The following is a 16,596-nucleotide window of genomic DNA, read 5'->3' as shown; positions in this document are numbered from 1 at the left end:
CTGGAGTAGAAAGGGGCAGGGTAGGGGGAAGGCAGAGTCCTCCTTTCTCATCTCCAAAAGGAAAACATGTGAAAACACGTTAGCTCCTTCCTTCCCTCTCCTGCAGCAATAATCAATGCACTGCCTAACTTAGCAGCTCATTGAGGAGGGCATGACGAAATCTGAAATGGAGAGTCAAAAGTTGACTACTATAACTGTTTTTTTTTTTTTTTTTCTTGAGACGGAGTGTCGCTGTGTCACCCAGGCTGGAGTGCAGTGGTGCAAGCTTGGCTCACTGCAACCTCCACCTCCTGGGTTCAAGTGGTTCTCCTGCCTCAGCCCCTGAGTAACTGGGATTACAGGTGCCCACCACCATGCCCAGCTAATTTTTGTATTTTTAGTAGAGATGGGGTTTCGCCATGTTGGCCAGGCTGGTCTCAAATTCCAGATCTCAGGTGATCCGCCCACCTTGTCCTCCCAAAGTGCTGATATTAAAGGCGTGAGTCACTGTGCCTGGCCTATGGCTGGTTTTTAACTGTAATTTTGGTTTATCCATAAATCCCCTAGCCACAGAGAAGAATAGTGAAGCGTGGGCATGAGGAATCCATTTCAAGGGTGCCAGTATCTGCCACCCCCACACCTGTAAGCTGTTGCTCTACCTATTAGCCTTGCTCTGGCCTTGGCTATTCCAGCCTTTCACTCTCCCTGTTTCTGGCCAGGGCCAGCTATGGGTCTCCAGCTATGCCTCTCTTCAGTCCAGCTCTCCCAGACAAAAGCTGCTGGATTCTGTAGTCAGCCCTCAGAGTAGTGTGGCTGCTAGAGACACGGTTAGCTGAAGCAACAGGACAGGATGACCCCAGCCCATGGCTGCAGTGGATATCCTGAGGGTCACCTCATGGCAGGTGGTATGTTCATCTTGGACCAGAGCAGGTCTTGGGCTCAATCTAGCTGCACAAATGAGGCAGCAGCAGGAGCCAAAGGATGCTCACCTCTCAGGGCTTCTGGGTCGCCCAGGATACGGTTCAAAGTCTCACTAGGGATCTTCTCGAAGGCCTCATTGGTCGGGGCCAAAAGCGTGTACTGGCCGTTACCTTCAAGCATCGTGTTGAGCCCTGATGCAGCCACAGCAGCCTGTGGGGAGGAGAGAAGATGGAGTGCTCCCTGAAGACTCTGGCACTCCCCACAGAAGATGCACACACAGCTTCACTGGTTCCCCGCAAGGGCTCGAGGCTTTCACAGAAGCCCAAGACGAAAACAGAAGCCAAACCCAAGCTCACCCATGACCATGGCCCCCAGGGGGCCTTGCTGGGCCTGAGCTCCAGCCAGCCTGGCCATCTTTCATGTCCTTAACCTGCCTTTCCTCTTCCTGCCCCCAAGTCCTTGTCCCTGCTGTCCTCTCTGCTCTTCCCTCTTACTTTGCTTCTCTGATTCTATTCATTCTTCCACTAAAATATCATTTCTTTGGGAGGTCAACTTGGCACACTTCCCACCCCATCTCACCGCCAGACAAAGGTGAGTCTGTCTGCTGTGCCTACACTCATGGCTTGCAGCCCTCCTCACACTGTCACTCGACAGTTACTGGTAATCACGTACATGAGCCCATGCATGGAAGGATCACACCACCCATTCTCTACACAGCTGCCAGAAGGATCTTCTAAAGGCCTGAGTGGTTTCCTGCTGCTCCCAGGATGGAGATGCACTCTTTCCCAGGTCTGCAAGTCCTGGAGGATTGGGCCTGGCCACTCTGGCCTTGTCTTTGCCCATTGTATGCCCTTCACATGTGACCTCACCCACTGGCCTCTCCCTTGCCCTTCCTGCCCTGAGCCTTTGCTATTACTCTCCCCTCTACTGGGTGTGCTCTTGCCCCAGCATTTTGTATAATGGACCCATTCTCATCCTTTAGGCTGCAGATCAAAAGCCACCTCCTCCAGAGAGAACTCCCTGACTTTCCAATCCTCCCTGCACTACTGTCACTCCCGATTTACCTGCCCACTTGACATAAATTATCACAGCCCCTGGCTACCTTGTTGATTTGTTTGTTGTCTCTCTCCAGATAGAGTATTAGCTCTACTGAGAATAGAACTTTGCCTTCCTTGTTCACCTCTATACTCCTGGCACATAGGCCCACCCGGGAAGTAGCAGGTACCTAGTAAGTATGTGTTATAAGAAGGAAAGATCGGCAAAATGGAGGGTCAGAAGAGGGAAGGAAGAAATATTTACCAAATCTAAACAGTAAGAGGAGGTGATGCAAAGGGATCAATTGCTGTTCACGTGCTGCCAACTATGTGGGAACATCATTTTCTTGCAGACCCCCGTCCTTCGAGCAACCCAGAAGAAAAGCATGGGAGAGGAGCTTAGACAGCGAAGCTCCCAGCTAACAGCCATCCACACCTGCGAGGCCTGTCAGTGCCAGCCAGCCCCAGCGTGTTTGTCTCTCTGTGTTGGAGATCTCTAGGGAGGGTCCGCCTCACTCCCACTTGTATCCTTTGTGGTTAGGAAGTTCTCCTTGAATCAAGGCAAAAACCCTGACAGGGCAGCCTGCCTCCACTTCCTCCTGAGCAGTCCTTGCCAAGAGGAACATGCCTTCCCCTCCAGTTGTAAGACAAATGCCTGCTGGGCATGGGGGAAGGAACCGTATTCCTGCGGCCCCAGAGCAGTCAGAAGCCAGGCTGGAAATCAGACCCTTGACTTCTGTGTCCACACTGGTGGCTTCTCTGCTGTTCTGGGCTCCAAGAGAACATGCGTATGGTTGGAACCAGGGTCCTAGGGTGGGGACATGTGATCCCAAAGCACACACAGCCTGATAGGCCATTTATTCTAGTACCCCATGTGGGAACTGCCACCTCTGGAAGCCACAGTGCAGGTCCAGGGCTCAGAGGACACTGTGCTGCTGCAGCCACACACCACTGACCTTTCCAGGGGAGGCAAGGAAGGGAACACTTTATAAAGAAGATGGAGAATTTCACAGGTTAGGTCAAGCTGAATGTCTGGTCAATGAATTCTCCATGTTCAAGGGCATTCAGGGGAACCTGCTCTATGTTCCCCTACAGGAGCCATCCTCTACCTCTCCTGCAGAAGAGTTCCTGCTAGGCCCCTCTTGGGAGGCAATGTGTCCCAAGCCTGGGCCTCCACCCAGGGCAGTCCCTTACCCGAAGGGTCTCAAAGGTGTCCTCGATCTCAATGATCTGCTGGATGTTGTTGGTGATGGTGGAGATGACCTTATCGATGAGGTGCACCACCCCGTTGGTTGCATGGTGGTCGGCTTTCAGCAGCCGGGCACAGTTCACAGTTACAATCTGCCCAGAGAAGCAGCAAGGATGAGCAGTCAACACAACAGAGGCATAGTCCCAAAGCCCCGGGAGGAGAAAACAGTGTTTTCAAACACAGTAGCAAAATGTGGGTTCCACAAGCTGTGGAATAGAGGGCCCAAGGAGAAGCAGGCACAAAGAGGGTGGGTTGTCTACAGCTTAAACCCCAGAAACCAGCCCACACATGGAACAGAAATGGGTTCATTATGCACCAAGGGCCATGCAGTATGGCTGGGGATCCCCTACCCCATTAGGATAGTGGTGGATCTGGATGTTGGAATTCTGGTACATAGAGGTGAGGGTCATGCCGTGTTTCAGCTCATCAGTCAGGACTCGCCTGCCCACCATATGGTAGCGGAGGGCATTGAGCAGCTCAATGTTGACATTGCTGACCAGGGAGTCCAGCACTTCCTAGGAGGAAGGACAGGGTGTCAGTTAGGGGCTGCAGACTCTGTGTTTAAGAGATGGGTCCTTGCAACTCTGGGAAACATGTTCTCAGCCCTCGTGAGCCCAGGCCTCTCTTCTGCCAAGGATCCCTCCTCAGGAAGCACCCAAGTCTTTCTGCCCAGTAGGGAACGGGGGGCATTAGACGCAACCTGGTAAGACATATTTTAGCTCAAGTTCCACAGCCTTTTCTAAGGGGTTAAGGAGAAAGCTTCCTGAAACAGTAGGAAATGACTGCAGACTCCCATTCATCATGCCCACCCCTCGGGGAAGTAAGGCAGTTCCCCATAAGAGTCCCCCGGGCAGACGGAGGTCATCTCACAGCTGGCAAGGAGGCCCAGGCCTCGTTGCTAGGGGCGAAGATGGTGAAGCTGCCGGGCCCCTCCATCTCAGGCCTCAGCTTCTCCGTGCGGTCCGTGTACAGCTGAGTGGTGGTGGATCCAACGACTCCCAGGGTCTCGTAAAGGTTTGAGAGTGGTAGGGCTGCAGGAGCAGAAGACAGAAGGAGGGATGGCCTCTGGGGGTCCAGCCCAACCACACCCTCCCTTCTCTGACAGAGAGCACGGTACATCTACAGGTGGAGAGGACGAGGAGGCATGTGGGAAAGCCCAAAGACAGGCTGTTTCTGGGGGGCTTAAGGCTTGTTATAGTCTTCTTAAAACAACTCAATAAGTCAAATGCCTGTCTACGTGAACTCAACTAATTGGTGATTTTTAATCATTTTAAACACAGCAGAGCACAGCTCTTGTTCCCAGACATTTAGATAACAGAGGCAGGAATGGACACTGGAAACAGATATCCTAATTACAAACTAGTCTTACAGATTTACCTGTTTATTGAAACTGGTTCCCTAATGGCTTCTATTAGAATAAGAGACTATTATAAATCTCCAAAGTACTGTGTGTATTTGCAGGTAATAAAATGTTATTTCTTAAAGCAGCTTGAAGTTTAGAAGGGGTTTCTCAGACCTTATAAGACCAAAATGAGTTTCATGTTCATTTGTTTTTTGTTTCTTAGACCAAAATGAGCTTAATATTCATTTTGAAGGGTCTGAAATTAGGGTTCAGAGGTTGAGCTCCCCTTCTAAGGTCAATCTTCTTTTCCCATCCCATTTCCCCACCTGTCCCTCCACTTGAGTCAGTACCTCCATGGCCCCACCCGCACCAACCTCTCCCATCACATACTCTAGGAACCTTGGAACCAACCAAATTGCCCTCCTTCCTGTTATGTCTCAGTCTCATGATTTATTTATTTATTTATTTATTTATTTTTGAGATGGAGTTTTGCTCTTCTTGCCCAGGCTGGAGTGCAACGGCCCTATCTCAGCTCACTGCAACCTCCGCCTCCTGGATACAAGCGATTCTCCTGCCTCAGCCTCCTGAGTAGCTGGGATTATAGGCGCCCACCACCACACCCAGCTAATTTTTTTGTATTTTTAGTAGAGACAGAGTTTCACTATGTTAGCCAGGCTGATCTCAAACTCCTGACCTCAGTTGATCCACCTGCCTTGGCCTCCCAAAGTGCTAGGATTACAGGCGTGAGCCACCGTGCCCAGCCCAGTCTCACAATCTTTAAGAGACAAGGTCTCACTATGTTGCACGGGCTGCTGGTCTCGAATTCTTGGCTCAGGTGATCGTCCCCTCTTGGCCTCCCAAAGTGCTGGAATCAAAGGCATGAGCCACTGCGCCTGGCCTCAGTCTCACATTCTTAACTAAAAAAATAGCCAATACAGTTGGCCCTTCGTATCTGTGGGTTCTTCACCCACAGATTCAACTAAACATGGACCAAAAATATTTTTTGAAATACAATAAAAGATAATACAAAAATTTAAAAGAGGGTATAACAACTACTTACATAGGATTTACATTATATTTGGTATTATAAGTAATCTTGAGATGATTTAAAGTACATGGAAGAATATGCATAGATTACATGCAAATACTATACCACTTTATATCAGGGACTTGAACATCTGAGGATATGGCATCCTAGAATGGGTCCTAGAATCAATCCCCCGCAGATACCAAAAGATGACTCTATTTCAAAATTAAAACAAAATACTAACTCCCCTGTACAGTCACTTGTGTGTAGCACTAAAAGAAAAGCTCTAATAAAATTCACAGGTGCCATGCTGTCTTTCGCCCAGTGCAACCATTTGTGGGACTCTCTGCTGACTCTGGGTGAGCCCACCTGGCCTATGGCTCTTCTCCCTACCGAACTCCAAAGGGCCAAGTTTAGACACAGAGGGAGATGGGGATGGCTTGGGGTTGCCAGCCCACCAGTGACCCCCTCCTCCCACATCCCATCGGCTCTCTAGCAGAGCTGATCGGAAACTGATGGGCTATCAGGCTGACCCTGCTGGATGTGTTTAGAATCACTCCCAGCCAGAGGCAGAGGCCAAGAGCCTGAGCCTGAGCCTGTGCCTGCTGGGAAGGGCATGGACAGGCCACAGTTGGAGTCTACTCCACCAGTGTGGTAAGGAGGCCAGGAGGAGCAGCTCAGGAAATGCGCTGTTTCCAGCTTCCATTCCTCAGCCCCTCGCATAGAGCCTGGGGCCAGTGGGCACGTGGGGAGAATGCCATGTCCTTGTGCCACTGCCCCCATTCACACTCTGCTGCCTTTTATGTGGGTACTCCTCTCTCCCACCATTCCCTTCCACCCACACCAACAGGCAAGGCCCGGAGGATTCATTCACCTGCTGGACAGCCCTTCTCCCCAGGGACCTTTTCATATCCAGGACAGCACTCGTAGCTGATGACTCTGTAACAAGACAACCATACATTGTGTTAGGCAGGGCTTCACTGTTCCTCACAGGTCATCTGGCCCCTCTCCACTAAGTTGCCTCCACAGCCAAGGAAGAGGAATGGTGGGTGAAACACTCTCCTCTTAGGAGTTATTTGCTAAGTCATAGGTCTGCCTTTCCTGAGCAAGGAGAGTCTCACTCCTCCTCTGTTCTGTAGAATGCTCCTGGCGGCTGCCAACACCTACAGCCAACCAACTGGGAGAACAGAGGACTCTGGCAGCCTAGTCAATGTTGTGACTAGAAAACATAATGCACCAAGGATTTTATCTCAACATTATTCACAGGAAAGCCGATGGTGAGTGTTCCTGAAAGGGAACAGGAAGGAATAGAAAGAGCCCTGCACCAGCTCTGGCTCTGAGTCTTTCACTGACCAGCTGGGCCATCCTCAGCCAATTTCATCATCTCTCTGGGTCTCAGTTTCCTCATCTGTAAAACACATATGTGTATCAGGCAGTGGTCATTAAATCTCTCATGATTTTCTAGTTCTCTGATTGAATAGCCAAAGAGGGGAATATATCTACAATCATCAAGTTTTTCTCTGTCTTCACAATCAAATTTTAAACTTTAAAATTAAAACAAAGCTCCTCTTACGAAGATACTTACTTTTTATTTTTTAAATAAAAAAAGTAATCAATAAGAACTTTTGTTTTCTGGTTTGAAATTGAAAATATACAAACAGTGACCACTGTCTGGAGATCTGAAATACACAGCTTTAACGAACCAATATTCTGGGGACGGCTAAAACACTGAGAATTTCAAATAATATTGCAAGGAAGGAAGTGTTCTGAAAGCCCACACCTAAGAAAGACTTGCTTAAAACCAAATCCCCAGGTTCTGCTGAAGGCTACCCTGTACCTTCGGTGGAGTGAGCACGACCTCTACTCAACAGGCCTGGAACCAAATGCAAACAGCCAGTCCTTCCTTTTCCTTTCTTCTATATGAATATGCCCTTTGAGACAGGAAAGGACTCAGACTTTAATTGCAGCGGGTTTTACCGCAGAACTGCTCACTGTGGGACTCTCAAAGGGCGTTTAATGACATCACCAGGAAAGAAACAGGCCGACTGGAAGAAATACAGGCTTTAGGGCTCTGGAGGGGCCTCTGGAAGGTGCTCTCAGTGTGCCCAGGAAATCCTGCTCTTGTTCATTTAAATGGAGTCGTCTCAGGGAAGACTTAGTTAAGCGAAGATGAAGCCTGATTCATCTGTTCTCCAGGGGGTGTTTCAGAGACAGATCAGCTAAGATGCTCAGGTGGCCAGGGAGTTGCAGCTGTCACTTTGCTAGAAATGGGCTCCCAGGAAATGACTGAGGAGTGACAAGCTATGCACATTCTTTTTTTTTCCTGTTTGCTTCCTCCTCCTTCCTTCCTCTTTTGTTTTTTTCTCCAGTCCTCCTTCCATCCTGTTTCTTTCTAACCTTTCATCCCTGAACTTATAAGGGCTAAACAGGCTATTGTCTTGGGACTCATCTTGATTGACTCACAATTTTATCTTCAGAAACTAAAGTCATCCTCTGCAACTAAAGTAAGATTTGATTGACACACTTTCAAAGGTGGTGTGGTGTAAGAGAAACAGTGCTAGAATCAGGAGATTTGACTTGTGATCCATCAGTAACTAGCAGGGTGAACTTGAAAGTCCATTTCTCTCTCTGGTCTCAGTTTCTTGGTCTATGAAATGGGGTGAAGTTAAACTAGATGATTTTAAAAGTTACTTGCAATCTCACACTCACGATTCTAGTCCATATTTCTAGAAGACAGAGAAGAACTGTCTGCCAACTTTTCCCAGCTAAATCCAGGGAGAGCTCCAAGCCTTGAACCCATAGGACTAGGGATGCATATGCATGGGATATGCATGGGATTCTAGGCTTTCTGTGATAAATTCCAGGGCTGTATTACTGGGGCTGTGATGTGGGATTAGGTCAAGTCCCCCCAAACTTAGTTTCTTTCCTAAAGTGTCTGTGTGAAAATCCATGGAGATGCTGAAGCAGAGTTGGAGGAATAGTGTTATCCTCAAAGTCCTCATGTCAGGGCCCCCTGTGCACACGGGTGCAGTACTCTCTATGGCATGGAGCCCCTGGGAAAGCTGGCCAAAGACTCTTTTTCTATATTGTTGGCTTCTGAGTTCCATCCCCAAAATACCGCAAGGGAGCTGAACAGCTCAAGTGGCCTCACCAGGATCTCATTGAGGACAAAAGAAAACCAACTCCTCAAATATTAACTCATTGGTTCCTGTGGCTAGGTGTGTGTGTATGCTGAGGGGTGTGTAAAGAAAGACACCAGGAGAAATGGAGGTTGGGGGTTTAGGAGGAAGGGATAGATCTAAGCAGAAAAGTCTCAGCTTGGAGTAGAGTAACTCAGGATAGAATCAGAAAGAAAGCTGTAAGGGTTCTGAGGGGTGAAGGAGTTTCTTAAGGTCATAGGTAGGTAGTAACAGACCTAGGACTCTTGCTGCATTCCATCAAGTCCAATCCTTTTTCCATTGCTCTTGAAAATGCACGTTTGGAGGATAGCAGACAGATTTGGAAAGTCTGACATCTAGAAGACACAGGGGGTGTCTCCAAAGTGATCAAGGCTAGCCCTTGTCAGCACTCACTGTTCCTCTCCATGTGGTCTTTCAGCACCCATGTCCCACAGTGGCTGGACTACACTCTACTGTCACACATGGATGGCTTATGCAGCACATGCCCAACAACCAAGGCTCAGTCCCTCAGGCCACTGAGTCTTCTCGTGCCAAGGGCTTTTTCCTGGTTAACCGAGTGTGGCTTTCAGCCAGGAAGCTCTCTCTTAATCCTCTTGCCTTCCTGCTGCCCAGTCTGGCATCTCTGTCACTCTCTAGGTGTGCAGGGGTTAGCCACGCCTTCAGCCCCAGTGCAGCAGCCTGTGGGCTGGGAAGGTGTCAAAGCTGGCAGTCCACCTGCCTCCAACTGCCCCAACAAATTAACTCTTTTCTGAACTGGTCTGCATGGCCCCAGAGCAGCAGAGAGCAGCTGTGAATCGAAGGCTGAGAAGATTTCAGGCAACTTTGACCAAAATTTTCTGGGCTGGCAGTGGCCTGCTCCACTCTCCTTATACTCAGCTCAGTGTGCCATGCTCCCTGGCCCTGGTCCCAGGCAGAACATAGATGCTGTGGTTGGATGGGCTGGGAGCAATCACAGAGGCATGGGTCTGATGCCATTCCTCCAGGATGAACATAGGAAAGGATGGAAACAATAGGGGGCTTCCCAGCCATAGCCCCCCAGTTCCTAGGCTTCCCTGCATAGAAAAGACCAATCTGTTGGTTTCTGAATCTAATCTCATCAGCCAAAGCTGTTCCGATTAAAGGCTTCAGGCTTCTCCTCAGCCAGATACAGTCTAATAAAGAAAAACCTCAGGTCAGAAAAAGCAGATCCCTTAGGACAGCGGTCCCCAACCTTTTTGGCACCAGGGATCAGTTTCGTGGTAGACAATATTTCCCCAGATGGTGGCAGGGGGAAGGGGTGGTTTTGGTATGAAACTCTTCCATCTCAGACCATCGGGCATTAGATTCTCATAAGGAATGCACAAGCTAGATCCCTTACACGCACAGTTCACAATAGTATTCGGACTGCTATGAGAATCTAATGCCACTGCTGATCTGACAGGAGGCGGAGCTCAGGCAATAATGCTCACTCCCTGCCACTCAACTCCTGCTGTGTGGCCTGGTTCCTAACAGGTCACAGACTAGTACTGGGAAGGTGCCTAAATTAGGGAAGGCACCTAATTTAGAAGAAAGTTTCAAGGAAGGTGCAAAGAGATAATGTCAACCCAAAGTCTATGTGTAGGGATGTCTGGGAGGCTCTCCACCAGTCCCTTCTAACATTTTTACTCAAGATTGGATAGAGAGAAGTACTGAGTTTTCTCTCCCTAAAATAAGTTTCCAAGAAGTTAATATAATTTAAAACAACCACTGCACTTCACGGATTTGGCCGGCTGCTCTGGCCGTAAATGCCTGGGGATTAATTATACTCGAGAAGTCGTTGGAACAAGGAATGGCCCTGTAGGCCAGTCACCTGTGACTGAAGGTAAACCATACAGGGCATCATAGTTTCCGAGAGGAATGGCAGAGCAAACACAGACCCATAACGTCTAGACATCTGACATGGCCCATGGACTGCTTGCCTGGGATGGTTTGCTTTCTGCCCTCCTGGTCTTGGAAACACAGCTGAGCTGATTCTGAAGCCTCCCAATAGAAAATCATGGCTTGCTTTAACCTACTGTCTACCAACAAAGGCCTCAACCACTACAGCCCTCACCAGGGGCCAGCCTGGTTGGTGATGAGGACAGAGTCTTCAGAATGTGGATGTACTTTATTTGTGGCAATCTGTATGCAGCATGTGAGGGCATTTTGGGCACTCCTGGAGGCTGACTGTGTCTCCTCAGTTCCCAAGCTCCTTGTCTGATGAGCGGTCTTGGGGATCCCCTTTACAGCAGGGGGTGAGCAACCTGGAGAAGGTTGATGACCCTGAGACAAAGGCATCCTTCTCTGATGCTGAGGAGGCCTTGTCTCTGGGACCCACAGCCACAGGTTTGAGGCTGTAGACAGAGACCTGGGGCAGTTTAGCCAGGTCCTACAGGCCTGCTCACTTGTTCACCTCCTAAGTCGCTGACACTAACTGCCAGGCTTGATACCCCCTGGGGGCAGCAAAAGGAAGTGGACAGACCTCCTCAGCTTACCAGTGAATGACTTTGACCAGGTTGCATAAAAGTCTTTTGAGCCTGTCTCCTCATCTGTAAATGGGCTAATAATCATATTTATCTTATAGTGTGATTGTGAGAATTGAATGAACTTACATATGAGAAGCACTTAACAGATGCTTACTGTTTACTAAGTGGTCAGTTGTGAAGCTTCTAAAGAAACTCCAGATATAAACCTTAAAGTTGAAACTATGTTAATATCTTCATTGAAAGCAATACCCTACATGAGACCATTGATAAAAGTACATTGAAATAAAGAAAAATGCATCTATAAGTCAACAAATAAGGCCTGTGTTGGCTTCCCATTGCTTTCTGTGACAAATTACCACAAATTTAGTGGCTTGAGATCATGCAAATTATCTTACAATTCCAGAGGCTAGAGTCAGAAATCGGCCTTATGGGGTTAAAATCAAAGGCTGCATTCCTCACAGAGGCTGTAGGGAAGAATCCATTGCTCGTCCTTTCCAGCTTTGAGAAGCTGCCTGCATTCCTTGGCTTGTGGTTGCATCACTCAAATGTCAGCTTTCATCATCACGTTGCCTTCTCTGACTCTGATCCCACTGCCTCCCTCTTTTTTTTTTTTTGAGATGGAGTCTTGCTCTGTTGCCCAGGCTGGAGGGCAGTGGTGCGATCTCAGCTCACCACAACCTCTGCCTCCTGGGTTCAAGCAATTCTCCCGCCTCAGCCTCCTGAGTAGCTGGGATTACAGGTGTGTACCACCATGCCTGGCTAATTTTTGTATTTTTTTTTTTACTAGAGGGGGAGTTTCACCATGTTGGTCAGGCTGGTCTCCAACTCCTGTCCTCGTGACCCGCTCGCCTCAGTCTCCCAAAGTGCTGGGATTAAAGGCGTGAACCACCAGGCACAGCCTGCCTCCCTCTTTTAAGTACCCTGATGATTATATTAGACTCATCAAATAATCCTGGATAATCTCTCCCTCTTATGATCCTTAATTTAATCACACCTGCAAAGTCTCTTTTTCCAGTAAGGGAATATATTTACAGAATTAGAGATTAGGATGTGGACATTTTTGGGAAGTCATGTTTCTACCTACCACAGGGTCTTACCCCAGGTGGCACATAGGTTCATGTAAATACCCAACAGAATAAAATTCCTTGTCAGCTAGTCAGCCTCCTAGTTTACAGAATGGGACAGAACCCTCAGGAAACACTGCCCAACAGAGGCGTTTGGTCGATCTCCGCTGTTTGGTGTATGTCCAATCTCAGTGCCCCCAGAGCAGATTATTCAAGAGATCCCAGCTGGCTGCACAGGGATATGAAACAGGAAAGGAGGCACTAGTATGGGTCTGGGGTCTGCTTGGATGACTTCTCACCATCTTCTTTTTTTTCCTCTTGGGACCAAGGTTGTGGGATATAAGGGAGGAAAACGACAGCTCTTCTTCACCTTCACGTCAGCTGTCCCCAGTGCCCTGCCCAGAAGGACACCTACTGAAAAAGCCCTGCCAGCTGATGGAAAAGCTCGACCATGCACCAGCTGATCTCTTTAAAAGTTAAATCTTTAAGCATTAATGCAGTGCTGAAGGAGTATTAATATTTTTGCCCCTGGGCAAAGGAACACTTGCTACTAGAGAAACAGGAGTGCTCTGCCAGCTCATCTTGGCTCCAGAGAAGGGCTTCGCACTTGTGAAATGTGTTGCTCGTGAAACAATTTCAAGACTTTTGGAATGAATAGCTGCCACCCATACCCGCTAGCTCCTCCACCAGCCCTCCCTATGCCACGTTTATGATGTCTGAGCTCCTGCTATGACTATTCCAGTCCCATGATGTCAACTTGGACTTGGCTGTTAAATAGGCCTCCTCTCCCTGGGGCTAGCACAAAGGAAGCCTGTCGAGAGGCAGCCAGGCTTCCTGACCACAATTTCCTGCACCTTTGCTCAAAGTGCCACACGTAAAAAATTTTATGGCTACTAATCAAACCAGGGCCTGAAATCACAGAGGGGGATGCTGACTGTCTGCTCCCCACAGCCCTCTTTGTTTGATTAGCCATTGTATCACTCCGGTGCTATTTAGGATCTGAAATAAATGCTAAAGTGAATTTCCGAACAATAAAATTCACAATAACAGCCACTAAATAGGGACCCACTGGTAACCACTTCCTGTAATAAAGTCCATATGTCAGCTTGACGCATTGCACCAGAAACTCAGGCCCTTCTCTCTTTGTAAATGCAGAAAAGCTTTTGTGTGCAGGCAACAGAGCTTCACCTGATGATAGCAGTGGAGTCTGGGGCCTCACAAAAGCAGGCAGGTGGCTCCAGGCTCCTGTCTCACCAGGTCGGCTCCTGTATCTCTGTGTGACCTCTCACCACAAAGTATTCCCCTGTATGCTTGGTACCCGTTGTCTGCTTCCAAGGTGAAATTCTCCTTCTGGTTTCTTGACCCTTGACAACCTGAGCTGCCTCCTCCCCCATGATACTTTACTCCTTTTCATCCCAACATACACCTCTGCTCCAGCCTCCTTCTCTGGAGTCTTGCTGAGAAAATTCCAACTGCCTATGGACCTCATGCAGAGACAGTCCTTTTTGCCCCAACCACTACTGTGCTCCCATTTCCCAGTCTGCTCCTCACTCAACTAAAGGCATCTAGGGACCTACTTTCCCCAGGATAACATCAACTCCAGCCAGCACAGTCCTCTCCCCTTCCCACCTGACCACCCATGGCACTGAATTCTGACCGTATGGTGGTCAGACAGTAGCCTCCTCACTGGTCTTGGTCTCAGGTACACAGGAGCCCTGCCAAGCCACTCTTACTGAGCTCTCTACAAGAACAGAGATGGGTTCCACCTCTTCCTCTCTCTGAGTTCTCTGGATCTTTTCCAGGGCAGCTCCACCTTCCTAATACTACATGTAATGTTCCAGGAAGGGCCTCTCTTGTCCTAGAAGTTTTATATCAAATAATATTTTTCTATCTTCATTTTCTCTCTTTGAAGTTGCCCAAAGCAGTGGCCACAAATTCAAGAGTTGAATGTAAATGTCATATCCTTCTGGCTTTGTGAGACTAGGCCAACAGCTGGGACTGGGCATCGGGCTTTGCCTGAGTCCACTCTGAACCCCATCTCCCCACCTCATCCAGACATTTCTTCCTTTTCCTAGAGGACTCCCCTTGTGCTCACTGGGTAAGGGAGCTGCGCCACCACATCACCACATTATCATATCCAAACCTGCCCCCGAGGGGTTGACCTGCTCATCAGGAACATTTTGGCAACACACAGCTCTGTTGCTTGTGCCTTGTCCTGGCACACAAAGATACAGGTACAAGAGCCAAGGCGACTCATCACTGACAGTATTCTCAGCCTGGACACTGATAGGGAATGTTATCGAGCTATTGTTAACTAGCTGGGCAAATGCTTCAGCCCAGCGGCACCCCCGAAACAGTGTGGCAGATGCTACCCTGTAGCCAGCTTGTCATCATAAACGGGTCTCCATTTTCAGAGAAACTTGAATTAACAAAAAAGATGGCCCTCTGAAGCCCAGGGCTCTTGAGATATAGAAGAGTTGTTTGCTTGGCACTAGCACTCTGGTCACCTTCCAAGAAGCAATTAGGTGAGGCCTGGCTTTGTGTTTAATTAAGTAATTAATTGTTAATTTGAGTAGATAATATACACACATGGGAAAAAATCAATCAGTACTAAAGGTTTTCTTTTCTTTTTTTTTTTTTTTTTTTGAGACGGTGTCTCACTCTGTCACCCAGGCTGGACTGCAGTGGCACGATCTTGGCTCACTGCAAGCTCCGCCTCCCAGGTTCACGCCATTCTCCTGCCTCAGCCTCCCGAGTAGCTGGGACTACAGGTGCCCGCCACCACGCCCGCTAATATTTTTGTATTTTTTTAGTAGAGACGGGGTTTCACCATGTTAGCCAGGATGGTCTCTGTCTCCTGACCTTGTGATCCGCCCACCTCGGCCTCCCAAAGTGTTGGGATTACAGGCGTGAGCCACTGTGCCCGGCCCATCTTTTTTCTTATTTTTTAAGTCAGGCATCCTGGAAGAATGGGTGGTGTATAATTTGCATAGTCTCCTTTTGTTCATAGCAGCAAGAATATCGCTGGGTGTCTGTTAGCTGAATCTTGGCAGTGTGTCCTCCTAGCTCACTCAACTTTTAGCTTGCAGGCTGGGCTGTCAATCAGGCATGGAGCAAGCTGCCATGGACCTGCCCTGGACAGGCTCCCAGGGACTGCTGGTATCTCCCCAGCTGTGCCATGAATCCCAACTTCCCTCAATTCATATTAGGATTGCTAATTGCCTAACATAATCAGGGTCACACATTGGAATATTTATTTCCACATACAGTTTAAGGAAAGAGCATTTTCTCTTCTTTCAGTTGGCTATTAAATTGGAGGAGATGTCTGCTCAAAAGCAATGTCACAACAATAAACTTAAAAATCCCTAACATTGAAAAGTGCTTAAGAGAGTGGCTTAGAGTTTCTTAATCATCCCATTATGTATGGAGACAGGAGGAAGGTCAGGCCTTCACAAGTGGCTCAGGAGATTTGTCATACACATCTTCCTAGCTATAGGAGACAGCCAGCTTTGAGATCTGTTGACAGTGCCAAAACAGATTAGGTTTCCCCAGAATTGTTAGAACATGCACCTGATTCCACCAGGGAGCTGGGCAGTGGGGTAAAAGCTGCCTCCCTCCTTGCTGAAACAGACATCAACAAGCCCTATTGTAACCACACTGGTCCACACCCCGTTGGCACTCTTACTTCTGCTTGTGTGGTCTAGATTTGCAAATCTAGGGTGATAATAATAATAGTAGCTAGCATTTATTGAGCACTGATATATGCTGGGCACCATATTCAGTCTCTTATGTACATTATTTCATTCAATCCTTGTAACAACCCCATAAGGTGGGTCCTTTTGTTATACGAACTTTTCAGGTAAAGCAATGGAGGGTTCTAAAGATGAATCGACTGGCCCAGGTAGAGCTAGGGTTTGAATGAGGAAGTCTGTGCAAATATTATATGCTATGCTGTCTCATAATCTGCATATGTTTAGTGCTCTAAGTCTTTTTGGGGTGTTTACCTTAGGACTGTAAGATAGGGATGGCATTCTTTAGTACAGATTCACCAATGGGCTTTCTTTTCCAGAGTCACATGCTGGTGGCTTCTCCACTGCATATCTGTATTATTTTATGAGGATTGAGAAACACACACACACACACACACACGCAGTGTTTCATGTTTCTTGCAAACCCAAACCAGCCCTGAAAAATGTCTCCAAGTCTTGTCAGCAGCCTTAAAAATGCAAAACAAAATTGGCCAGCTTCCTAAAAATGCCACTCCCTAGCACGCAGGTCCCAGACATGTTCGCACATGCATCTTCATGGCTTTTTAGGC

The 16,596-nt window shown here is 48.1% G+C and overlaps 1 protein-coding gene across 1 annotated transcript in view, besides 1 other annotated feature; it reads right to left on the bottom strand.

The window, feature by feature from the left end:
- Window positions 1-16,596, bottom strand: part of TGFBI (transforming growth factor beta induced) — a 34,831-nt gene that overhangs the window by 13,270 nt on the left and 4,965 nt on the right. The window contains exons 3-7 of the mRNA NM_000358.3: window positions 6,427-6,491; window positions 4,054-4,214; window positions 3,534-3,698; window positions 3,129-3,275; window positions 969-1,110 (exon numbers count right to left, since the gene is read on the bottom strand). Of these exons, the coding sequence (NP_000349.1) occupies window positions 969-1,110; window positions 3,129-3,275; window positions 3,534-3,698; window positions 4,054-4,214; window positions 6,427-6,491 (680 nt within the window). The remainder of the gene's footprint in view (window positions 1-968; window positions 1,111-3,128; window positions 3,276-3,533; window positions 3,699-4,053; window positions 4,215-6,426; window positions 6,492-16,596) is intronic.
- Window positions 13,075-13,124: an enhancer, noted in NCBI's record as "active region_23177". NCBI's record gives its function as "activates an Ori minimal core promoter by ATAC-STARR-seq in GM12878 lymphoblastoid cells {active_cell/tissue: GM12878}" and the evidence as "EXISTENCE:reporter gene assay evidence [ECO:0000049][PMID:35858748]".

The sequence above is a fragment of the Homo sapiens genome, chromosome 5 (genome assembly GCF_000001405.40).
Source record: "Homo sapiens chromosome 5, GRCh38.p14 Primary Assembly".
Taxonomy (NCBI): Eukaryota; Metazoa; Chordata; class Mammalia; order Primates; family Hominidae; genus Homo; species Homo sapiens.
The sequence above is the reverse complement of the archived record's forward strand: the minus strand, read 5'-3'. Positions and strand labels throughout refer to the sequence as shown.